Here is a 22676-nt window from a genome sequence, read left to right as displayed (position 1 = left end):
TTTTAGAAAGGGGTGATTAACATTATCAAATGCCTCAGAGCACTGGGCACATTTCTAGGAACATGTCTAAGTGTTTTTGAGATGGCTGTTAAAATCAAGGAGCTGGACGGGCACGATGGCTCATGCCCGTAATTCCAGCACTTTGGGAGACCGAGCAGGGAGGATTGCTTGAGCCTAGGAGTTTGAGGTGGCAGTGAGCTATGATTACACCGCTATACTCTGGCCTGGGCAACAGAGAGAGACCCTGTCTTGGGGGGAAAAAACAAAACAACAAAAAACAGAAAATAAGGAGCTTACGGTCTGCCTAAAAAGAACACAAACACATGGCAATTAGGAAATCACTCAATTAAGAAATTGCTTATCAATGTAACAGAAAAGTGTAATAGAGATTCATCCATTTATTCTGCACACATATATTGAGCTCCCACTATGTGTCAGGCATTTAGTTGTCAGAAGAGGCAATTGGATTTTTAAAGAGAAGGATATGACTTAGTTGTGGGGCTGGAAAGAATGATTTTTCTGGCTAAGTGAAAAAGAATAGCAGAGTAACATGGGCATATTGGCTGGGATGGGTTTGGGAGGGTGGAGAGGATCTGGTTTTGACCAGAGTCCAAAGAAGGGGGAATAATTTGGGGGAAAGCCTGCCTGAGTGAGTTGGTACCGTAGATTGGAGAGCTGGAAGGCACCCATCGAGTGTAGCTAGTCCCAGAAGTTTTCCTACTCCAATATTTTCTAAAGGTTATGCTCCTACTGCTGCAACACAAGGCAGAACCCCCTTGTGTCAGGCTGTCAAGCTAATAGGGCCACTGCCTCCTCCAGAAAGGACATGCAGAAAGTGCAAGCTACTCCATTGGTCACCAAATATGCCTCCAAATGCCCTCTGACTTGGACAGGACATTCGCATAACAAAATTCCGAAGCAAAGCATAATTAAAAGAGGGTTTTAGGTACAAGAGCAGCTTCCAAGCCCTGATCTACACCTGGGCTCTTTCAAATAGCAGGTGCAAGGAGACTGGGTGATTCAAAGAGTCAATCATAACTTATATTGGCTTTGGGTGGACCGATAGACAGCCTGACGTATGGTCGGGCGGACAGTTAGAATGAGCGAATGCGTGGATGATGTACTACCAGTCTCCGACCACCACCAGTTTTCCCTAGCCGGAAACTAGTAGCAAAGCTTCCCCGAGACCGCTCTAAAGCTGCAGTTCTCCAGACGGCCGCCGGAAGAGGGCGCTGCGGATCGCCTCGGTCTGCAACCTTCAGACCCCAAGTCCTAGGCAGCGAGGGAGAATTCAGCCTCCCTCAAGTCCCAGAAAACATTGGGCCTCGGAGATTCCCCCTCCACCCTTCCCTCACACCCACCCCAATGGCCTGGGGTCGATACTGCGGCCACCGGAAACTGCCTGGGACAAGTGTTGGGGATGTGGGGGAGACGGGCTGTGGTGGGAGGTTGGAGAGGAGGAAAGGAGCGGAGGAGGGAACCCCAGCGCTGCTGGCAAGCCCGCGGGAAACTCGAACACCCAAGGCCCACGGGCTCCCACTGTTGGGACTGAGATTTGTTGGGGAACAGAGGGCAGAAAGAGCTATAGGTTTCGACTACCTAAAGCTGAATGAGGCTGCACAGGTCCTGGGGCGAAAACAGCCGCGCCGCCACAAGGATGCTTCGGGAATCTGTCCTTTAATTATCAGGAGCAGCTGCGAAACTTACCTTAGCGCAGCACGAACCCTAGAGCGCCCCCGAGGGTGTCCCTGCCCCTTCCGACGGGGGCGTCTGGCGGATTCGCGGCGTAGCACGGCAGCGCGGGCCTCACAGGGTCGGCTGACCGCTTCAGGCCCGTGCTCCTACCTCCCGTCTCCGTCTTGGTTTCCTCGCAATTCAAAGGGAGCTGCTGAGCTCCCGCTGTTCTCTGCTTTGTAACCCGCTCCCTCAGGTTCCCTCCTACCCCAGGCCCCTTCCCGCCAGAGGGCGCCCCTGGAGTCGGTGGAGAAGGTAGGGGCTCTAAATACAAAAATTCAAGACGAGTTGAATCTTGGCTTGAACTGCGTGACAGGAAAATAGGCAAGTTTGGAGACCACAGGTGTTAACTTCTAGTGGGGCTTGACCCGACAGAGGAGCAGATTCTTCAACACCAAAGGCCTAAGGGCCGGACTCTCTTCGCGGACTCTGGCCCTCATAGACGCGCCCTCGCCTCCCATACCCTCCGTAGAGCATGCCTGTGAGGGAAAGGGAGAAGCAGAAGCCGCGCTCGGATGACTTGGCGCCCCACCCCCCAGCCTGCCCACAGGCCACGAATTGAGAAAAGCTTTCCCAAAAGGAAAGTCCTCTCAAAGGCCCTAGACGGTCAAATCGGGAAAGGGAGCAGTAGAGGGATCCTTCCTCCCGCTGCGTCTGTGAAAGCCGCCTGTCTGCACGCCCCGGGCTCCCGCGGTCCCTCCCGAGGATTTCGGTTCTGGTGCCTGAGAAAGCAGCGCAGAGGGGGCCCTGCGAGACCCCTCCAGAGAAATCATCCCCCGGAGGCATTCCTCGGATCTTGGGGTTGCGGAGCAGCGCCCCCCAGCGCCCAGTTACACTCCTGCCTTCCGCTCCCTGCGCCTGGTTGCCTCGATGGCACTCGCGAGCCCAGCTCAGCCCGGCTTAGAAGCCTGTGCCTAGCTGTGGGAGACTGCGGGAGCAACTGAGGGGCCCAAGTGTTTCTTGTTGAAGGTCAGAGGCCTAGAGTCACAGTTTCTCTAAATCCAAAATACAGAATCAGAAGGAATAACTCCTTCTATTAGCGACTTTTGTGATCTACAAACTCAGGCACATGATCTCATCCTGAATTGTTTGGATCCCTAGCACAAACCAAGCCAGTACACAGGGCAGGTTGTGACCATTTTTTACAGCTCAGGAAACAGGTGCTCGGAGGCTGTGTTTCCTCAGCGTTTCTCGAGGCACTGGGGGGTTCAAAGATAGATAAAACAGGGGCTCACCCTCAAGGAGGGAAGCCAGAAAACACACACTGGTTTACTCTGGCTGTGATGGGAGTGACTCCAGGGTGTGGCGGGAGCCCACAAGAGCGGTACTGCACAGCTGGAAAAAGGCAAAGCCAGGGTTCAAACCTAGGACGGACTTCCACTCAAGGACTCCTCTCACGACCTTGGAATGCTGAGAGATCAAGAAATGGTGCAAAAACCCACACACGAATCTCCATTACAACCCTCTCTATCTCACTGGATCCTAGAGTAACATCTGTCAGAAAGTAACTACATATTATTTGGGTGATTTATTGTGAATGTGTAAGTTCCGTGTGAGTAGGAGCTGCATCTAGATTAAGTTTGAATTTTCAGGCCTTGCGTAGTCCCTGGCACAGAGCCCTAGCTGAATAAATACTGTCGAGTGAATCAAAAATTGCGATAAAACTTGGAGCAAAATAACACTACCAGGAGACAGAGTGGCTCAGCGCCCTAAACAGGTGTGGAGGACCACAAAGGGAGTTAGAAAAAGCAGTTGGGGGGTGGGGCGGTGAGACAGGTGGTTCCTCCTCACAGTTCCACCTGGTCCAAGCTACAGACCCCAAATTAGCCTTCTTTTGTATGAGCCCTCTGTTCTTGTCTCGCAAAGTGACACTGGAGGGAGAGAAAGGAGTTTCCCTGCGGCCACGCTGGTGTAAGCAAAGGCTGATGGCGATTCCGCGCATCTAGGGCCGAGCCTGGGCCTGCGCCCCCTCGGATTCCTGGCGGAGCCGCAGCCAGCGAAGCAGAGCGTGGTCGGAATAGAGGCAGCGACCGTGTGAGGTCGCGCCAGGGAAAGCTCCGCGAGGGGCCAGCGTTGGGCCCTGCCCTGCCCTGACCGCTCCCCACTGTGCCCACTCCACCCGGGAGCAAGCTAGTTGCGGGATAAAGGAATACGCGCAGACTTCGCAAAGTGCAATCGGGGTTCTTCGTATTCATGGAAAAAAAAATCACTGGTTTAGCCCGGGTCTGCCCTATTTAGGATGAGTCCAGGAGGCGGCGGAAAGAAAGGACGCTCTTCGGTCAGAGGGAGGTGTTTCGGGCCATGGGAGGGACTCTGGAGGCCTTTGCTTGGATAAGCTTGGAGATACAGATGTCCTTCTCTTCCCTACAAGGTGCGTTAGTCTCCGGGCTTATTTTCGGCAGTGCAGTGGTACTGGGGAAGAAGGCAGAGCCGCGTGTTGAGAAGGGGCTAGGGTAGTAGAGGCGCTGGAGCCTGGGCGGCAGGGCGCTGCAAAGGCCCAGGCGAGGTGGATAGAGAGCTTGCTGGTGCGCGCGAGAAGCACGCCTGCAGGCAGAGGTTGAAGCGCCGTCCCAGTTGTGTCCCAGAGTGAAGCGGGAGTCTTTGCCCGCCCCAGCCACTTCGAGCTCCACTCCAGTTCAGCTCCCAGAGTCGCCACTTGCTGCGCGGTTGTTGGGGAGGGGGTTCCTGGTCCAGAACGAGACGTGGGGGGCTGGGGGTTTCCTCGAGAACTGCAGGCCTGGTTGCCCCCGGACTGTCAGAGCCGGAGGCCGGGGAGCTGCCAGCCACGTGCGCCTGTGGCCTGCTGAGAGGTTGAAAAGCTGCCAAGGGACGAAGGCCGAGAAGACAGGACCTAGGGGCTGTGGAAGATTCACCCAACTCTTCCTTTTACTCAGGTCTTGGGACCTAAGAGGGGGTGGGGATAGTCATGATAATAACTACCGCAATCTCCAGTGCTGGCACTGAGCTGAAAAACATTCAAAGCTTTCAAAGCATTTTGATGTGCTTCATCTTACTTGAATCTCACAAAAACCTTGTGAAGATTGATCTCCATTTCTAAATGGCGTTGAGACTGGAAGAGATGTACAACATTCTACACTTGGTGTTCCTTAAACTTACAAACAACTATGAAATAATGGCGAGTGAGAGAAAGAAGCTGGGTGACTGGGAAACCCACCCCGCCTTCGCAATTAGACCCCATTCGGGACTCAGGCCCGGCCAGGTCGCGCCTGCAGACAAGGTCTGTATTCAGCGTTGCCAGTTCTCCTCTGTGGTTCGCTTAAGCCCGGCGTCGCCTCCCCTCCTTGCTTAGCCACCACAGTGATCAATGCTCAGTTCGTCGGGGCCTGAGAGCGCCCCCCAGAGAAGCCCCTGGGAAGGAAGGGCAAGGAGCCGGGCTTCGCTCTGGTCTTTCGCAACACCAGCGGCGAGCGCGTCTCCCTGCGCAAACGTAGGGTGGCCTCCCCAGCTCTGCCGTGGGGACCGCACAAAAACGCGGGCGCAGGTGGGAGGGCGGAGGGTGTCCTGAGCTTTCTTTACCCTGGTAAAGAAGGTAGGCGGTGAGAAAAGCGAATGTTATTATAGAAGTTGGCTTTGTATTGAGGGAGTAAGAGCTCTCTTCAAGGAGAGGGCTGAAATCTTTAAAAATAAATAAAACTTTCTCTACTGTAATTGCTATTAATAAAAAAAGGGAGCCCGGATGAATTAAGTAGCTCAAAACTGCCTGTTCGTCATGATCAGGAGCTCCTTCTCTACAAGGAGGGGAAAGAAAATGTGAAAACAAAAACTAAATTCAAGAAGCTCCTTGACCAGCGCGGGTGTCTTGGAGGCACCTGCCGGGGCCGGCCGGGGAGCGCTCCGCCCTCCCAGCCCCTGGCGCGCAGAGGAGACTAAAACAGCTAAGGAGAAAGCAAAACAAAAACAATGATAAAAACGTTTAAAATCCAAGGACAAAAACCGGAGTCGGTCTCAAAATCCGCGCCGTTCAGTGCTCCACTCGGTAGTCGACTCGGCTGCAGGCCCCGGCCTGGCCGGAGCAACGCGGGGGACACCCCCGATTCCGCTGGGGAGCGCAGCCCACAGCTCCCCCTCGCCAGGCGCCCAAGGACCCTCAAGGCGCGGGGCCCACACTTGAAGCCTGGGAACGCGCAGACAGGAAACCCTCTTCCTCCTAAGCAGTTTCTTGCTCGTCGGATGAGAGGCGCCCAATTGAAGCAGAATGATCCTCATCTACTAATATCCAGCGTGGCCACAAAGCGACTGGCCATTTACGCCACCACTTTAAACAAAGATATTTGGTTATTCCCGGGAAGCAAGAGCACTTTTGCATGGCTGAGCTGCGGGCGGAGGCGAGCCTCGGCCCAGCCTCCCGCCCGCTGAGCTGCCCGCACCTCGGCATTCGCCCCCTCCTGGCCAGCGCTCCAGCCGCCGGGGTTCAGGCTCAGTTCCGCCCGGCAACAGACAGACGGGCACTCACGCCGCTCCCTGCTCGCGCGCTCCCTGAAGCATCAGAGGGGAAAACAGCGTGGCTCTGGGCTCGGGTGCTGGGGCTGTGATGTCCTCGGAAAGTCAGCTCCAGCCCCAGATCCCCGCGTGTCTGGGAGATGGGCGAGGGTCAGGGACACCAGGTTTGTTCGAGGTGGGGCAACTTCAGTGACGGACCCTCCCGTGAGACCCCTTCCCATCCTCCCAGCTCTGGGGGCCAGTGCTGTGTTTGCTCGGCCGGGGGTGGGGGGGGGGGGGGAAGACCTTGGGGGAGGCGTGTTAGCGGGGGTGGCCCACTGAAAAACCCCTGAGCTGCGGGGGCGGGTTGTGGCTCGGGGATCCGGGACAGCCTCCGGGAGGCAGTCGATCCCCTACTCAGCGCCCCCTCCGCCCGCTCGGATTCTCTCCGGTAGGGGGAAAGGGGGCGGGGAGCAGAGGTGTCCCTCTGACGGCGGCAGAAGAGAGGCAGACAGACTGACAGACACGTAGACCAACAGTGCGGCCCCAGGGTTCGTCCCCAGACTCGCTCGCTCATTTGTTGGCGACTGGGGCTCAGCGCAGCGAAGCCCGATGTGGTCCGGAGGCAGTGGGAAGGCGCGGGGCTGGGAGGCCGCGGCGGGAGGGAGGAGCAGCCCCGGCAGGCTCAGGTGAAACCCCCACCCTGTCCCTCAGCCCCCTCCTCCTAAAGACCTGTCCGTGCCCGGGGAACCCCGACCGAATTGGAAAGTGGTTCCACTTTGTAACTCCGCAAGTTGGTTGCAAAGCAGCATTCACCTTCCTTCCTCTCAACCATCTCTCCTCCTCTGTTACTCCCCCACCCCACCTCCTGCCCTCCCCGCTCTCGGTTCCCTCCTCCTTCCCCTCCCCTCCACCTCCTCCCCGCGCTCCGCTGGTACCCCACAAAAAATGGGGGTGGGGGTGTCCAAGGGAGGGGGGAAATGCTTTGGGTCTCGTCTCTGCCTCTCTCTCTCTCTCTTTGAGACCTAAAAATCCTGACAAGTGAAACTTAAAGGTGTTTACCTTGTCATCAGCATGTAAGCTAATTATCTCGGGCAAGATGTAGGCTTCTATTGTCTTGTTGCTTTAGCGCTTACGCCCCGCCTCTGGTGGCTGCCTAAAACCTGGCGCCGGGCTAAAACAAACGCGAGGCAGCCCCCGAGCCTCCACTCAAGCCAATTAAGGAGGACTCGGTCCACTCCGTTACGTGTACATCCAACAAGATCGGCGTTAAGGTAACACCAGAATATTTGGCAAAGGGAGAAAAAAAAAGCAGCGAGGCTTCGCCTTCCCCCTCTCCCTTTTTTTTCCTCCTCTTCCTTCCTCCTCCAGCCGCCGCCGAATCATGTCGATGAGTCCAAAGCACACGACTCCGTTCTCAGTGTCTGACATCTTGAGTCCCCTGGAGGAAAGCTACAAGAAAGTGGGCATGGAGGGCGGCGGCCTCGGGGCTCCGCTGGCGGCGTACAGGCAGGGCCAGGCGGCACCGCCAACAGCGGCCATGCAGCAGCACGCCGTGGGGCACCACGGCGCCGTCACCGCCGCCTACCACATGACGGCGGCGGGGGTGCCCCAGCTCTCGCACTCCGCCGTGGGGGGCTACTGCAACGGCAACCTGGGCAACATGAGCGAGCTGCCGCCGTACCAGGACACCATGAGGAACAGCGCCTCTGGCCCCGGATGGTACGGCGCCAACCCAGACCCGCGCTTCCCCGCCAGTAAGTGAGGCCGCCCCACTGCGGGGCCGCGGGCTGAGCTCAGGAGGTGCGGCGAGAGCCGTCCAGAAGGCGCGGCGCCGGCAGGCTGCGCGCTGGGCATCAGGGAGGGCGGCCCGGCAGCGGCGCCAGGGACTTGGGTGCGGGAGCTGGGGATGCTTCCCCCTGCTCGGCTGGGGGTCCAAGAACAGGCACTTGGTAGCGCTGGGGTCCTGCGGTCAGATGCGGGTACTCGGCGTCTCCTAGGCGCGGTGGACTGGCAGCTCTGCTCGGCGCAGAAGACCTCGGGGAGCCAAGGGAAGCGACCCCGAGCTCAAGGAGCAGGGGCGAGCAGAGCGCGGAGAGGCTAGACCGGGCCAGGAGGGAGGCTGCCCTGTTGGGAGGCACTCGAGCGCCCGGCCCGGCCCTCTCTCCAGCGGAGTCTGGGCAGGTGGGAGGACTCGCAGTTCCAGAGGGGACTCTAAGGGTCCGAGCAGGTGCCCTCACTGGGGCCTGACAGGAGAGAAGCCAAGAGGCAAAGCGTCTGGGGGCTCCAGCTTTTGGAAGTCAACACCCCCTCTCCTAACCTCTCCAAACTGGGGTCTACCGTAGGACCCCAGCTCCCGGCCTGAGCCCAGTTCGCCGCCTGTGGCCAGCTAATCCTAATGCTCTGACCCGGGCTGGGCACGAAAGGAGCAGAAGCGGCCTTTCCCCCACTGCGTCTTTTGGTTCGAAAGAGGGAACTGAGACTGAGGGAGGGCAGCCAGGGTTGGGGCTGTGAGCGCTCCAGTACAGCCCCCTCGACGGTACGGCCTGGGGCAGGCGCTGGCAGTTCCCCGCGGATGGGCCTCTTGGGCCCCAGCGCTAGGCTGCCTGGGTCAGGAGGGCGCCGTCGGTTGGGGCGGGCCGGGCGGGCCAATGGCGCGGAAAACAGGGGTGGCCTGGCTCGGCCTGGCCCCGGCCGACGCTGTGCGTTTGTCGCTTACAGTCTCCCGCTTCATGGGCCCGGCGAGCGGCATGAACATGAGCGGCATGGGCGGCCTGGGCTCGCTGGGGGACGTGAGCAAGAACATGGCCCCGCTGCCAAGCGCGCCGCGCAGGAAGCGCCGGGTGCTCTTCTCGCAGGCGCAGGTGTACGAGCTGGAGCGACGCTTCAAGCAACAGAAGTACCTGTCGGCGCCGGAGCGCGAGCACCTGGCCAGCATGATCCACCTGACGCCCACGCAGGTCAAGATCTGGTTCCAGAACCACCGCTACAAAATGAAGCGCCAGGCCAAGGACAAGGCGGCGCAGCAGCAACTGCAGCAGGACAGCGGCGGCGGCGGGGGCGGCGGGGGCACCGGGTGCCCGCAGCAGCAACAGGCTCAGCAGCAGTCGCCGCGACGCGTGGCGGTGCCGGTCCTGGTGAAAGACGGCAAACCGTGCCAGGCGGGTGCCCCCGCGCCGGGCGCCGCCAGCCTACAAGGCCACGCGCAGCAGCAGGCGCAGCACCAGGCGCAGGCCGCGCAGGCGGCGGCAGCGGCCATCTCCGTGGGCAGCGGTGGCGCCGGCCTTGGCGCACACCCGGGCCACCAGCCAGGCAGCGCAGGCCAGTCTCCGGACCTGGCGCACCACGCCGCCAGCCCCGCGGCGCTGCAGGGCCAGGTATCCAGCCTGTCCCACCTGAACTCCTCGGGCTCGGACTACGGCACCATGTCCTGCTCCACCTTGCTATACGGTCGGACCTGGTGAGAGGACGCCGGGCCGGCCCTAGCCCAGCGCTCTGCCTCACCGCTTCCCTCCTGCCCGCCACACAGACCACCATCCACCGCTGCTCCACGCGCTTCGACTTTTCTTAACAACCTGGCCGCGTTTAGACCAAGGAACAAAAAAACCACAAAGGCCAAACTGCTGGACGTCTTTCTTTTTTTCCCCCCCTAAAATTTGTGGGTTTTTTTTTTTAAAAAAAGAAAATGAAAAACAACCAAGCGCATCCAATCTCAAGGAATCTTTAAGCAGAGAAGGGCATAAAACAGCTTTGGGGTGTCTTTTTTTGGTGATTCAAATGGGTTTTCCACGCTAGGGCGGGGCACAGATTGGAGAGGGCTCTGTGCTGACATGGCTCTGGACTCTAAAGACCAAACTTCACTCTGGGCACACTCTGCCAGCAAAGAGGACTCGCTTGTAAATACCAGGATTTTTTTTTTTTTTTGAAGGGAGGACGGGAGCTGGGGAGAGGAAAGAGTCTTCAACATAACCCACTTGTCACTGACACAAAGGAAGTGCCCCCTCCCCGGCACCCTCTGGCCGCCTAGGCTCAGCGGCGACCGCCCTCCGCGAAAATAGTTTGTTTAATGTGAACTTGTAGCTGTAAAACGCTGTCAAAAGTTGGACTAAATGCCTAGTTTTTAGTAATCTGTACATTTTGTTGTAAAAAGAAAAACCACTCCCAGTCCCCAGCCCTTCACATTTTTTATGGGCATTGACAAATCTGTGTATATTATTTGGCAGTTTGGTATTTGCGGCGTCAGTCTTTTTCTGTTGTAACTTATGTAGATATTTGGCTTAAATATAGTTCCTAAGAAGCTTCTAATAAATTATACAAATTAAAAAGATTCTTTTTCTGATTAAAACCCTCCTTTTTGTTTTGTTTTGATTTGGCTTTAAATGGCTTTGAGGGGCGGGGGCTTGGGAGGATCTTGTCTTTGGTCTGATGAGATTCAAATTGTTTGGGTTTGAGCTCAAAGGATTCTGAACCGGTTAAGGAGGTAAGGAGGCCAGGCCCAGAGTCCTTGCCCCACAGGAAGAGGGAGTTTTGTTCTGCCTCAGAAATTGTGTGGAAACAAATCTTGAGCAGTCCTGAGACTGCAGTGGAGGACCGAAATACCAAACTACTTCCACCAAGAGGGAGAGGGAGAGAGGAAGAGAAAGAGACCAAATAATTCATTTTCTGAGTCAGACTTCTGTTGATAGGAGTCTCAGAACTGTCTACTGTGGTCTCACAAAGCTGAGCCAAAGTTTTAAAACAGTGAGAGAGGACACCCATTTTAAATCAGTCTGAGTGAGTTATGGTTTTCAGTGAATGGATCACCTCTGTAGATTTGAACATCAAACCTTTATTTCTAATCAGTGGCTGAGCTCCTTCACAGAATTCGATGGGAGGCTGTTTTCGAAAGTAAGGAAGTCATTCAGGGGTTTTGTTTCTGTCCTAAAACAGGGACCCCTCTAGGGGACCAGCAGCAGACGCCTTCAGCCCCTGCTGCTTTTGGCTCCTTTGGCCTCCAACGGGGTAACACTGGGTGACAGGCCTGAGGACATCCCAGGAAGGACTTTGGGAGCTGAGATTTCACTCTTTGTTGTACTGGGTTTTATCTCTGGGATCCTAAATTTTTGTAGTAATGAATCTTTCTCCTGTTTACAGTTCTTCACCTCCCAGCCACTACCTCCCACGCCAAGCAAAAAAAATAAATAAATAATAAATCATTTTTGATTCCTTTCTTCCAACCTCTAATTTCCTGGTTTCCTCAGCGCTCAGTGTTTGTGTTGGGAGACCCATTAGGGATGAGAGAGAGGGGAGAAGGAATGGTTTTGAACACAGAAAAATTGTAGTCCCCTGGATGGGCTGTAGCCCTTCCGGGTCACCCTTGCCAAATCTCCGGTCGAAAGGCAGCTGAGCCAGCTGCGGGCAGACGCCCCTCCCAGCACTTTCCTCTAGGCCTGGAAGTATTGGATTATGGGCAATTGATTCTTATTTGGCATGTACTCACTTCTCGCCCAGGTTTTCAACTTTCTTTTTCTTCCTCTCTTCCCCTCTCTCATTTCGTTATTCGTCTGCATCTCTTCCCAATCCCTCTCTCCCGCTCCCCCACCAAGAGCTTGTGAGGAAAGCAGACTGGCCGGAGTCCTCGCTCCGGGCCCAGCAGTCCTCTTTGTTAACTTCCTGGAGCCTCCTCTGGCGTGGTGCCTTAAGACTGTGGGCTAGGCCGGGCTTTCTCCCTCAGAAACCTGGGCCTCACTGCTGAGACACAGTTTCCAACAGCCAGAGGGACTCGAAGATTCCCAAGAGGATGGTTGGGTCTAGTGAGAGTGCTTGTTGGAAGGCGGGGAAGGGAGATTTTAACAGGTCTCACGTTTTGGAAAACAAACAAATTTGACCACTTGCGTTGGAATGGTCAGCTGTGGTTCCGGGACCGGGAGTGTAGGTGGCTAAGGCACCCAGCTCAGGCCGGCCGGGCAGGGGACATGGATACTGCAGCTGCTGTTTGGCTCTAGGTCCGGATCCCACGGAATTGGAGCTTCGCTTAACCTGCCCCAGCCTAGCCCAAGCCCGGGCGGGGACCTGGCTGGCGGTGCCCGGCTGTGGTTCTGGCGGCTGCCCCGCACCCCATTCTAGCTGGGAGGAAGCCTTTGGGAGTCACAATTTTAGTAGGCTGTGGCACCCTCGGCCTTATCATCTTTGCATTGGATGGAGTTTCCATCAAATACATTCTTCTCCTCGCCGTCTACAGTCGGCATAGTTTGAAGTCTGTTTACTTGTCCCGGGGAAAGGTGAACTCAATCGGGTTTGCGGACCGAGACAAACAGGACCTCAGCCTCTTTCTTGCCATCAATTACGCTGGCTCCATCCGCTCCCGCTCCCGGCTGGGGGAATTGTCGCAGCTGCGGGAAGAGACCTAGAACGCAATCTGAAGCGTTTCATTAGGGAAATAGGTGCGCGCTGGGAGCAGTGCAAGAGGGTTCCGCAACCTGGGGACACCCTCCGCCCCTACAGCACCGTCGGCTTCTGGAAAGCCGACAGTCCTCCTTTCTGGGAATCTCCTGCATCAACTCGTGCCCAATTTCTGGCCTCCCCTCTCGGAGAAATCAGCATTCTGAGGATGCCCCTGGCGCTGAGGTGCTTGGAAGCTTCCGAGGTTTGGGAGCAAGTACGGTTCACCCCGAGATCACCGCGAAGCTTTGCCTCCGCCAAAGTACCCTACCCATCCCTAGGCCCCAACGGCTGAGAGGAGTGGGGGAGATTTTGCACACTGCACCCCCCTTCCTCCTCTCCCCACCCCCACTTCGCCATGTAAACACTAGGACTTTCTCGAGAGCCTTGGAGAGCCGCTCTAGTGGCTTCGGGCCCTGAAACCCCAGGCTGGGCTTTTTTGATGTTTAGCATCCCAAAGCTGCTCCCCACCCTGGCCCCAGCCTGGGAACTGGGAGCTGTGGGCAGGAGAGGAAGGAAAGCAGCTCTCTCAGCTAGCGAGGGGGTCAGGGACTGGGCCAAGCTCAGAAGCGGGGAGAAGAGCGAGACAGAGATGCTCTGAGCAGGGGAGACAGGGATCCCGGGCTGCTGCCGCTACCAACAAGGGTACACACTGCGGTCCTCAAGGCCAGGAGGGGGGTGGGGGCAGGGAATGCCTCAGCCAACAGGGCAGCGGCTCGGCCCTGCTGCTGGCCCGGTGGGAAGTAGCCTGGGGCCCCGCGACTGAAATCCGAGCCAGGCCTGGGCAGTCTCCGCTAGAAACGCTCTGGGCGCGCACTCCTGGAGACGCGGAGGCCCGGGCGCTCCAGACCAGTGTCCTTGTAGGAGGCTTCTTCACGAAGCTTAGAGTTTGGCCTTTCATAGGGAAAGACTTGCTCGGGAGCAAGTCTAAGGGATTTTAAGGGATTTTAAATCTTCCTGGGCCAGGGCTAGGGAGCTCTAGTGACAGTGTCTTGGTCTGGAATCCAACTCTCCAATTTTGAGGCCGCAGGGAGGAATTCTGAGACTTTAGAGGCCGCACAGCCTTCAGCGCGCTCACCGCGTCCAGGCGTCAGTGAGGGGCTATCTCGAGGCGCGAGTGCACAAAAGGTAGCGCGAGTCTCTTCTCAGGCGATCCAGATAAGAGGAAATGAGAGCCGGGTTTTCTGACTTCCAACTCATTAGGGACCAGGTAAGGTCAATGCTTTCTCTATTATGTCTTTATCTTAAAAGCGGGTCAATTTAAGATAAGGGAAAAAAAATCCAGGATCTGTGTGAACCGTGCTGATAAAGACTGACCCCTTTTCTGAACTAAAAGCAAGCCAGGCAGACATTCATTTTCTATAAACAAGAGAGTTGTGAGAAGCTGCCTTGAATTCTGATCATATGTCTCCAGACATCGCTCTCCCTTCCCTGCTCCCCACCCCCCAATTATTAGCGCGAGGAAGCAGAGTAGACGATTTTATTTGTGGAGAACTAGAAAGCCCATTGGGAGATGAGAATCTGAGATGATATGATTCTTAGGCATGGGTTACTGGCTTGTTTAGTTCAACTAGGACTTTCTTTTTGAATGGAAAGAAAGTGACAGACACGGGTATTGGGAGGGAGGAGGCTGAATGTTTTCTCTGCTCGGCTAGATCCTGGTTAGGAGACGCTGGACACCATGTTCCTCTGGCTCTCCCTGCCTTCTGGCTGACGCGTTCCTCCTTGTGCAGCTGTGTTTCTGAGACTTCAGGCCACCCTCTGTGGGGCCCAATTTGGTAGCTTACCTCAACTTGGAGCATAGAAAGTTTTCTGGTGCCCCTTCGGCCAGTTGTTTCTAGAAGGAGTATCTTATTTTCAGTCACCCTCTCTGGAAAGTTTGTCCACCCAAGCTGAGGGATTTGGATATGGATGGGAGTAGATGAAAGTAAGTTTTATTGAAGGGGGTCTGCATATGCCCTTATCCTCACCTCATGTAGTTGTGTTTCTGAACTTTCTTTAATGAATCTCAAAGGAACGGAGAAAGAGCAGGTTCAGCAACTTGGCAGCACAGCTTTTGCCTCAGCTGAAGCCATAGCTGAAGTGGCTGGCTGCATTTCTCTCTGATAGTGACCTAATGCCCAACTTGGTGGGCATCGAGGCATGATCCTGGGCTCCTGCGCCTCTCCTCGTTTGCTAATGTTTCCCGTTTGACCTCTGCTTCGTAAGCATTTATTACCCTTGTTATTATGAGTTGTAGCAAAGTTTTGGAAAGGGTGAGATTTAAATTCATTTTCCTGTTTTATCTATTTTTGTTATTTGCAGGACCCTTCAACATAAATTGATCACTGTTAGTGCTCTGCCTGAAATATAAATAAAACATAACATAAATGTGGCAGGCAAAGGACTTGTTAAAGAAAACTCTTGCCTCCCACCTAAAATCCACATCTGATTCTGCCTACTTTGTAAGTGATTGCACACAGATTTCTATGTATATATGTATGTGTGTATAGAGGTATATATACATATGTGTCTCTCTTATACACATGTATATATACATATGTATCTCTCTTATACACATGTATATATACATATGTATCTCTCTTATACACATGTATATATACATATGTATCTCTCTTATACACATGTATATATACATATGTATCTCTCTTATACACATGTATATATACATATGTATCTCTCTTATACACATGTATATATACATATGTATCTCTTATACACATGTATATATACATATGTATCTATCTTACACACATATATCTATTTTATAAGATATTCAAAAACTGTAATATAGAATTCTCAGAGATTTTACAGAACCTGTTAGATGCAAGAACATTGAATAAATTCACTACCTCAATTAAGGTGTCTCATGAAAAAGTTTCCTTGAAAAATTCAAATAGACCAAAACCCTTTAGTTTTACCCACTTTAAGTCAGAATATTTATTTATTGTCATGTGAAACTCTGGATAACTAATTATGTTTTAGGAAATTTTAAAATTTATTCCTAAATAATTTGAACTTGGTGTCTGAGACACAGCTGTGGATAAGACTTTTTGAGACATTCTATAACAACAACAAAAAAATTGTCCCTTGCCGAACTTCTATTATCCATCTATAAAAATCACTGGTATAAATACTACCGCCCTGGGGCAACAACAGCAACGAACAAATGAAAACTGTTTCTGCTCCGCATTTGTTGCAAACGTCCTCTTGATTTCACACTTTAAGCCTTCACATAGTAGTGGAAATAAGAATGCAGGTCTGAGTGTTGTCTGACAACAAGGAAAAAGACAAATTTTTTTTCTTCTCCCTTTTCCCCTCTATTTCACACATTTCTGGGGAATCCGGTCTTTGATTGTTAGATCTTGCTGCTAGTAACAGCAGACTGTTGGTGGAGTGTCAAACATTCTATTTCTAGAGTATTGGTGATTGTTGATCATTCATTTATATAAAATCAGAGCTATCAGGCCACCAAGTATCTTTGGATATCCTTCCCCTGTCCCTGTGCTCTGGATCCAGTCTATGGAAAATGACCCACAACAGGTTAGCGTCTGCCTTGCCTAGCATTCTCCCTCCTAATGCTGCTGCTCTAAAAGTCCAAAGCTCTAGGAAAACAAGGCTTTATTTGGCCCGCGTGCTACTGATTTACCTGATCTCAGCAGCACACACGGGGCTGAGTGCGCGCGCGCAGAAGTAAACCTGTGAATTACCATAATGACACTAAGAGGACCGAGAGCTAGTTCCTCTGAGCTGACTGCACGCTCTGCCGCAACCCAGGAGACCCAGTCAATGTCTAAGGAACTGGATATGCCTATGTGTAAAGCGAACCTCGCAAAGTTATGGTCCCAACAGACGCTTCCAGAGCATTAGGTCTCTAAACAGACTTGCAGCGACAGACTTCTAGAGGAGACTCAAGCCGCAGAGGATTAAATCTCTCTCTCTGCCTGGCCACTTGATGGTGCCTCAAGGTCTGCAAGGCCTGGGGTGGGACTAAGGGCCTGGGGGGCTGGGCAGTGGCAGCTTCTTCCTTCCCTTCTGATTCTACTTCAGAAAGAATTGCAACTGTCAAACCACCGTGGTGCACACAGCACACATTCCTACCTCAAGCCACAGCAGACAGAAATTGTAGCTAGTTCGTTACTGCCCTGTGACCTGGCAGTATTAACTGAAATGTCGATTACTACTCCCTGGCAGCACTGTTCCCTGACAGGACTCCTGAGCCTCGACCTGGGTGCAGTAAACTTTGGAAGTGCTGCATTGTATCATACCTACAACTCACGCAATAGATAAAACTCAGACATCTCTCTACACATCTACATAGTCCATTGGCTTCGTACTGAAATCAAACAGAAAAAGTTTTTGGAAATATTTAACAAAAAGCCAACCCACTCATGGCCATCATTTAGCACTGGGTAGGGGTAAAGAGAAAGAGAAACCCTTTGAGGTATGTGGTAGCATACAAACATGTTCACAGTAACCTTCCTGTATTAACCATTTTCTAACAATTACAATGCCACATCAACACAGTTAGTTGTTGAAAATTCTCAACATGGCTAAATACTTAGATTGCATTGGTGGTGTGCCTGTGAAAGCTATTTGGGGGTTGTGTATGTGGTTCTGCTCATTGGAAAGACAGAAGAGAGAAAGGGGGCCGGAAAGGATACTGGGAGAAAACAGAAACAACTATTCCTGGTGAAAGTGTGTGGGCTTCTGAGGGCGGTTGTGGCAGCTGAGAAGTGCTGGTTATATATAGCTGGGTCACAGTGATGGGGAGGTGGGGATGGTGGTGGATGACTGTGTCATGTGCCTGTGGTGTTTAGGGGGTGATCCTAGTGGGGAGGGCCTGGGAGACGGCTGGGTGGTGGTGTGTGTACCCTGTCTGAGCTTTGGGCCGGTAACACAATGGCAACGTAATTATCTGGCTGAAACACGCTCAAATGGCAAAAAGTTGCAAAATAGATCGACCTCCCAGAGAAGAGACAGAGCTGGTTACAGAGGTCTGCACCCATCATCCTTTTTTCAATACATTTTAAACAAGAGGATCTAGCGAGTGATTCTGATTCAATACACATAATCAGTTTGCAAGTCTTATTTCCATTTGAAAACAGGGCCATTTGCAATCATAAGAGCCGGACACGCTGAAAGATACGGAGCGCATTCCGAGCAGATGATGGGTGACAGAATCTGTAGGCAAGCACTAAATATTTTCTTCCAGCTTCAGACCTTGTGCATCAGTCTTCTGTCCCGAACCATTTTAAATGGAATGTTCCTGTTGAATATATAATTTAATTGCTTAGAAAATGGAGACTCCATGGTTGGGAGGAAAAAACCGGCAAGAAAGGTGACAGAGAAACTATGTTGATTGTGCTTCTCCTCAGTACTGGTTAACAGTCATTTAACGAAGAGTCTACCCATTGGGTAGAAGACTTGATGGAAAAAATGAATTGGTTTTTAAAGGAACAACCGCCAGAAGGGGTTGCCGGGGCTAACATTCTCAGGCTGGAGCTGCAAAGCCCTGGCTGGGTGTGGCCGGGACTGGCGGGGAGTCTGCGGGGCCTTCAGGGAAGCCCAGGGACAACTCCGCGGCCTCCCAACGACGCCGCCAAAGACCTGGGGGCCCCTCGCGGCCCGGCTGTTCCGAATTGGTTGCCAAATGTCTAAACTAGAAGTGTGGACACTTGAAATCTCGAGCTGTCTTAGGGTCTCTCGCTACGAAAGTTTGGTTTCTAGGACCAAGAGAAGCAGCTGTCCCAGGCCCTTCGTTTCCTGTCCGCAGCCTCATCCTCCCCGCACCCCCCAGCTCTCAGTCTCCCCAGTCCCAGTCCTTACCCCGTCCACCCGCGGCCTCTCTCCCAACACCCAGCCGGCAGCCTCGCTCTCGGCCCCCGCCCGCCCCGCGTCTCCGCGTACCCAGGTCCCCGCGCCCCGCCCCGCCCCGCCCCTGCCCAGGTTCTCCCTCCCGTTCCCGCGCTGGGAACAGCCTCGGCCGCGCGCCCCCTGAGGACGCGGCCCCCAACCCCTCCTGGAGACCACACCGGCAAGTCTGGTGTGCGGAAGAGCAGAAACTTCCTCGGAATTTCGATCCCAGAATATACAAATATTAGTTCACTAGGTCACGACGATGATGCAAACTCTAACTTGCAGGGATTTTTAAAAAAGATCTTAACGCACAATCTTTCTTTGTACAAATAAACGAAACCAAACAAAGCCAGCGAACTACTGCTGTTTCCCTCGTGAATTTTCTTAAGGAAAAGAGAGATTCCTTCTCTCCCCAGATATCAACATCTAACGAATTTTCTAGGAGACTGAAACTCAACCTAATAATAGTATGTGCTTAATGCTGATTCCATTTTTGTTTCAAAGGGGGGTAATTTATTAGCTTCCTCAAAGTGGTGCCTCGTAGGCAGGTGTTGTATTTTTTGATATCCTTGTAAAGAGTTTTTGCGTCTGGGAAGATCTCAGAAGAACCAATAAATAAGGTGTGTGTATGTTGGGGGGTGGAGGTGGGATTCTGTACAGCTCATGGCCCTGCTTGTTCAATTTCATGCAAAACTCATTCTAAAAGCCCCAGGGTTCTCTTTAATAGGGGCCAAATGGCAGGAACCCCAAAGATCTAAATATTTCACTCTTCCTCCCTGTACCTCCCTCACTGCGCCTTCCACCCCCAGCTATAAATTCTAGATTCCCCTCCCCGCCCCCCCCCCACCCATCCTGCGGATAATTGAGTGGCTCAGAGGCACTAATCTGCCCTGGGGTGAGGTGGGGCTGGCAGTGGAGGTAAGGCCTCCCACAGGCTCCCTGGTTCCGCAAAATGGGAGGACAGAACTCCTACAACTGGCAGGAGGTGAAGAGGACGCTGGGACCCACAGGACCTAGTCTGCCAGGGGAAAGGGAAACAGGCTCCCCTGACTAAGGACACAGCCTCAGACCAGGCTTGGCTGGGTGGACAGGAATGTGGTGCCCAAGAGCAGCAGAGATCCAGGGTAGGAAGTTGCAGCCATCTGAAAACCCCATAGAGATATATTGCCCACATGACTATTTCTAGAAGTGGTGGTTGATCCCTTCACACCTTCCCGGATCCAGGATATACAGCGGCTCGCTAGCCCAAGTCTTCAGGTGCAATCCCAGTCAGGGAGAAGAAACTTCACCCTGCCCTCCTCAGGGAGACCCCTCCTGCCTCCCCAGTGTAGGTATGTGAGACCCTCATTAGGACCCCAAGATCATGTGCAGGAACATCAAGCATCTTATTCTTGTATTTACAACCTGGTGTGACTTTATTATCTACTTTTCTTCTGTTTCTTCATCCTTCCCCATTTTCCATTTCTTTATTCCAATGCCGATGTTTTCTTTGCTTTCTTGTCCAACTCCAGTCATGGCTGCAATCCTACTTTATAGGCAATTCGGTATTGTTTATCCTAATGTCAGTACTAAAAGGAAAAGTAGAGAAAGTGGATAGGCTAAGTAATAAAGAATGAAAGCCAGTAAGGTCCATATGGGAGACCAGTTGGGGAGTAAGAAGACCAGAGAAGAGCCAAGGTCAGCCTATCAAAGGACTAGGGAGAAAAACGATAGAAGCAAAGAGAAGCCGCAGCCTGGAGAAAATCAATTAATGTCAGTAGATGGGGAGGAGGGAGTACAGCCGGGACCCAAGGCATATGCCTCCCCTGGAGGGGCATAGAGAGGGATAAGGGGGAAGCAGATGTGTGTATGGCAGTCTGTCTCTGAGCTGAGGGGCAAAAACTAGCAAAGCTTGCCTTCCCTTCTTCCGGGCTTTAAGAAGGGGGACTGTCCTGCCAGAGCAAATTGAAAGACTGTGGAGCCCAGGGGTCAGGACTGGGAGTTCGCCAGCCGAACTCCAGCCTGCTCCTCCATCCTGGATCGCTCCGGGTTCTGTACCCCGTGGAGGAACATATTCAAGGGAACCTGGGGGCAGAGGGCAAGGCCAAGGGGAGGGGAAATAGCTTCTAGAAACTTCTGTGGAGACAGGCAAAACTCTTTTTCTGCACACGTGTCCCATTCCTCCTCCCTGTAGTTTGGAGAGGGCATTTTAGAAAAAGAGTCCCTTGGTTCCTTGGTTTTCCCCGAACCTGAGGTTGGACAGCGCCCCCTTTATTCTCCGCGAGCGCAGCCTGGACAAAGGCGTCACTTGGAGGGCGCCCCAGCTGCCTGGGAACTCCGAGCGGAGCCCATCCCGCTTCCCTAACCCGAGTCGTTTCCCAGGATGGAAGGCGGATCCCGGCTCCCCGCGATCAGGCTAGGCCGCGGGTTCTGGCTGGGCTGCACCCCCCAGGTCCCCGCCCCCAGCCCCCACCCTCTGCCCCTCTGGCCGGGCTCCGCAGGGCTCTCGCAGTTTCGGAGCCCGGGGACCCCGGCGCAGGAGGAGGCCTGGGCTTGCCCGGGGGCTCAGTGTGGAGAGAAGGAGAGGGGAGTCCCCCACCCTCCAGGCTGCTTGGGGACTTCGAGGGGCTTGGAATCCGGGTCCTCCCTTTTATGAGGTTCACACACACTGTGAGATATTTTAGCTGCAGCACAACCCTTTTAATACCCAGCATGACATCGACTGTGTGAGCGAGGCCCTTATTTGGTTGGTGAACGCCGGGGTGCACATCAAGACGCTTCCCTGCCTGGGAGGCACAGACCCCTCTCCAGGGGCCCCGAGGCGGGCAAGCGAGGTAGCTGAGAGGGACCGCGGCCCAGCATCGGCTCGTCTGGGTGGGAGGGCGGCCGCCCAGACTTCCCGCGGTCGGCACCCCCTGCTCGGCCCCAGCCCAGAGGCCGCCAGCATTTGAGTCCCCGCCCAGCCGCGGCTCCGCCGTCGGGGCTTTCCCCCGAAAGGCCCAGGCGCCACCTCGCGAAGTCAGCTTGGCTGGCTCCTGAGCCCGGCTCTGCCACCCCAAAGCAAGGGGCCGTACCCGCGTCCTTCCTCGGCGACCCGCGCGCTCCCCTCCCTCTCCGTTAATATTCTCCGATAATTTCCGAGGCAAAGATTTCTATCTTTTGGGCGAATTTGTTTCATCTCTCTTGAATTCAGAAATGGAGCCTTCAAAAGTCTTAATGTGTGTTTATTTTTTCTAGCATTCAAATGAATGCGAAGCCACGGATTGAATCCCGTCACTCTTTGGGGGTTAGCTTCTCCCGATATTTCACACGGAAAACAAAACTGGGTCCCTCTTATTTGTACTTGTCCTTAACCTTTGCAGCAACTGCTGTAGATGCGGCTCTGTCCATTCTCTAATAGATTTTACCAGGGGCTGGTGACAGAGAACTGATTTCTTTTCTATTAGGGTTTAGCACATCTTTGTTGAAGGCCTGTAGAATGACCAGGGATTAGATTTGCATCTCTTAGACGCCCTGTGTGGTCTTTGTGCGAAGCTTGTAACTGTTAAAAATGACTTGTTAGGAAGCGTGTGGGCTCTCATCGCTCTCCTTTTGACAGAATGATTGTGAAATTCAGATTGGCCCTGTAGGATTTAGCCCACAGATTCCACCTGAACCCTAAGCAATTAGACCCTAATCTCCCTGCAATCATATTTGAGTTAGGATTTGTTGCACTTTGTTTACTTCAATTAAAAGCAGTGGAATAATTTTTTTCCAGCTTTTAAAGTGAAATCTCCAGGCATAAAACCTTAGGACTTCTTAGAAATGCTTTTGGTAGTGATGAGGATTTCTTTTCCGTGTGGTTTCCTCCAAGTCCTCATGACCATCCCCTTCCTTCTCCCATTTAAGTGACTCGTTTTTTCCCCTGTTGCTCGCCAATGCCCAAAGCGTCTTCACAGGGGCTGAATTCGCGGCGCAAGGGAAGAACTGTGTGGAGATGACGCCCAGCTGGAGGGGCGCCCAAGCTCAGGCCGTCGCCCAGGTCCCCGATGGGGATCCTATGTCCCGCCGCCGCGCGGAGCTTTCCCAACACGGCCCGCTGGCTGACTGGCCCCCGCGTGGGTTCGGGCAGTGGGCGCCTGTCGGGCGTCTTTCTTCCTGCGGCGGAGCAGGCTCTTCTAAGGCGCTGGCCGCCAGCCCCGCGATACGGCGACTGAGGAGGCGGCGTGGTCAGCCTGACCTCAGCCTGCGTTCCGGGAGCCTCC

At 53.7% G+C, this 22676-nt stretch overlaps 1 protein-coding gene and 3 long non-coding RNA genes across 13 annotated transcripts in view, besides 9 other annotated features; 2 read left to right on the top strand and 2 right to left on the bottom strand.

The window, feature by feature from the left end:
• Positions 1-2227, bottom strand: part of LOC105370453 (uncharacterized) — a 47558-nt gene extending 45331 nt beyond the window's left edge. The window contains exon 1 of the long non-coding RNA XR_001750715.2: positions 1708-2227. This is a non-coding gene — a long non-coding RNA (uncharacterized LOC105370453). The remainder of the gene's footprint in view (positions 1-1707) is intronic.
• Positions 1112-2050: an enhancer, noted in NCBI's record as "H3K4me1 hESC enhancer chr14:36994071-36995009 (GRCh37/hg19 assembly coordinates)". NCBI's record gives its function as "activates a minimal SCP1, AML or CMV promoter by ChIP-STARR-seq in primed H9 embryonic stem cells {active_cell/tissue: H9 hESC(primed)}" and the evidence as "EXISTENCE:reporter gene assay evidence [ECO:0000049][PMID:30033119]".
• On the bottom strand, positions 3900-7638 carry NKX2-1-AS1 (NKX2-1 antisense RNA 1). The gene is made up of 2 exons (NR_103710.1): positions 7237-7638; positions 3900-5272 (listed from the first exon to the last, which is right to left on the bottom strand). It is a non-coding gene; the product is annotated as an NKX2-1 antisense RNA 1 (long non-coding RNA).
• Positions 4269-5268: an enhancer, noted in NCBI's record as "H3K4me1 hESC enhancer chr14:36990853-36991852 (GRCh37/hg19 assembly coordinates)". NCBI's record gives its function as "activates a minimal SCP1, AML or CMV promoter by ChIP-STARR-seq in naive H9 embryonic stem cells {active_cell/tissue: H9 hESC(naive)}" and the evidence as "EXISTENCE:reporter gene assay evidence [ECO:0000049][PMID:30033119]".
• Positions 5269-6268: an enhancer, noted in NCBI's record as "H3K4me1 hESC enhancer chr14:36989853-36990852 (GRCh37/hg19 assembly coordinates)". NCBI's record gives its function as "activates a minimal SCP1, AML or CMV promoter by ChIP-STARR-seq in naive H9 embryonic stem cells {active_cell/tissue: H9 hESC(naive)}" and the evidence as "EXISTENCE:reporter gene assay evidence [ECO:0000049][PMID:30033119]".
• Positions 6269-7268: an enhancer, noted in NCBI's record as "H3K4me1 hESC enhancer chr14:36988853-36989852 (GRCh37/hg19 assembly coordinates)". NCBI's record gives its function as "activates a minimal SCP1, AML or CMV promoter by ChIP-STARR-seq in naive H9 embryonic stem cells {active_cell/tissue: H9 hESC(naive)}" and the evidence as "EXISTENCE:reporter gene assay evidence [ECO:0000049][PMID:30033119]".
• On the top strand, positions 6684-10519 carry NKX2-1 (NK2 homeobox 1). 2 transcript variants are annotated; one of them, NM_001079668.3, is made up of 3 exons: positions 6684-6863; positions 7546-7931; positions 8896-10519. In NM_001079668.3, exons 1-3 carry the CDS (start codon positions 6787-6789, stop codon positions 9636-9638), a joined length of 1206 nt encoding a protein of 401 aa, NP_001073136.1. In that variant the 5' UTR covers positions 6684-6786; the 3' UTR covers positions 9639-10519. The 2 variants fall into 2 exon arrangements, with proteins under 2 accessions (NP_001073136.1, NP_003308.1); NM_003317.4 differs by lacking the exon at positions 6684-6863 and having other exon boundaries at positions 7360-7931.
• Positions 7360-22676, top strand: part of SFTA3 (surfactant associated 3) — a 46269-nt gene continuing 30952 nt past the window's right edge. For 5 of the 9 annotated variants that reach the window (NR_138599.1, NR_138601.1, NR_138597.1 and 2 more), the window contains exon 1: positions 13131-13804. This is a non-coding gene — a long non-coding RNA (surfactant associated 3). Of the gene's footprint in view, positions 7449-13130; positions 13805-22676 lie in introns of those variants that run through there. The other 4 variants (NR_161364.1, NR_161365.1, NR_161363.1 and 1 more) reach the window with 2 other exon arrangements.
• Positions 8427-9425: an enhancer, noted in NCBI's record as "H3K27ac-H3K4me1 hESC enhancer chr14:36986696-36987694 (GRCh37/hg19 assembly coordinates)". NCBI's record gives its function as "activates a minimal SCP1, AML or CMV promoter by ChIP-STARR-seq in naive H9 embryonic stem cells {active_cell/tissue: H9 hESC(naive)}" and the evidence as "EXISTENCE:reporter gene assay evidence [ECO:0000049][PMID:30033119]".
• Positions 11648-12275: an enhancer, noted in NCBI's record as "H3K4me1 hESC enhancer chr14:36983846-36984473 (GRCh37/hg19 assembly coordinates)". NCBI's record gives its function as "activates a minimal SCP1, AML or CMV promoter by ChIP-STARR-seq in naive and primed H9 embryonic stem cells {active_cell/tissue: H9 hESC(naive and primed)}" and the evidence as "EXISTENCE:reporter gene assay evidence [ECO:0000049][PMID:30033119]".
• Positions 17468-18123: an enhancer, noted in NCBI's record as "NANOG-H3K4me1 hESC enhancer chr14:36977998-36978653 (GRCh37/hg19 assembly coordinates)". NCBI's record gives its function as "activates a minimal SCP1, AML or CMV promoter by ChIP-STARR-seq in naive H9 embryonic stem cells {active_cell/tissue: H9 hESC(naive)}" and the evidence as "EXISTENCE:reporter gene assay evidence [ECO:0000049][PMID:30033119]".
• Positions 20857-21432: an enhancer, noted in NCBI's record as "H3K4me1 hESC enhancer chr14:36974689-36975264 (GRCh37/hg19 assembly coordinates)". NCBI's record gives its function as "activates a minimal SCP1, AML or CMV promoter by ChIP-STARR-seq in naive H9 embryonic stem cells {active_cell/tissue: H9 hESC(naive)}" and the evidence as "EXISTENCE:reporter gene assay evidence [ECO:0000049][PMID:30033119]".
• Positions 21536-22346: an enhancer, noted in NCBI's record as "VISTA enhancer hs1166". NCBI's record gives its function as "enhancer in: forebrain[6/6]" and the evidence as "EXISTENCE:transgenic organism evidence [ECO:0001131][PMID:17130149]".

Source organism: Homo sapiens, chromosome 14, assembly GCF_000001405.40.
Source record: "Homo sapiens chromosome 14, GRCh38.p14 Primary Assembly".
In the NCBI taxonomy this organism is placed as follows: Eukaryota; Metazoa; Chordata; class Mammalia; order Primates; family Hominidae; genus Homo; species Homo sapiens.
The sequence above is the reverse complement of the archived record's forward strand: the minus strand, read 5'-3'. Positions and strand labels throughout refer to the sequence as shown.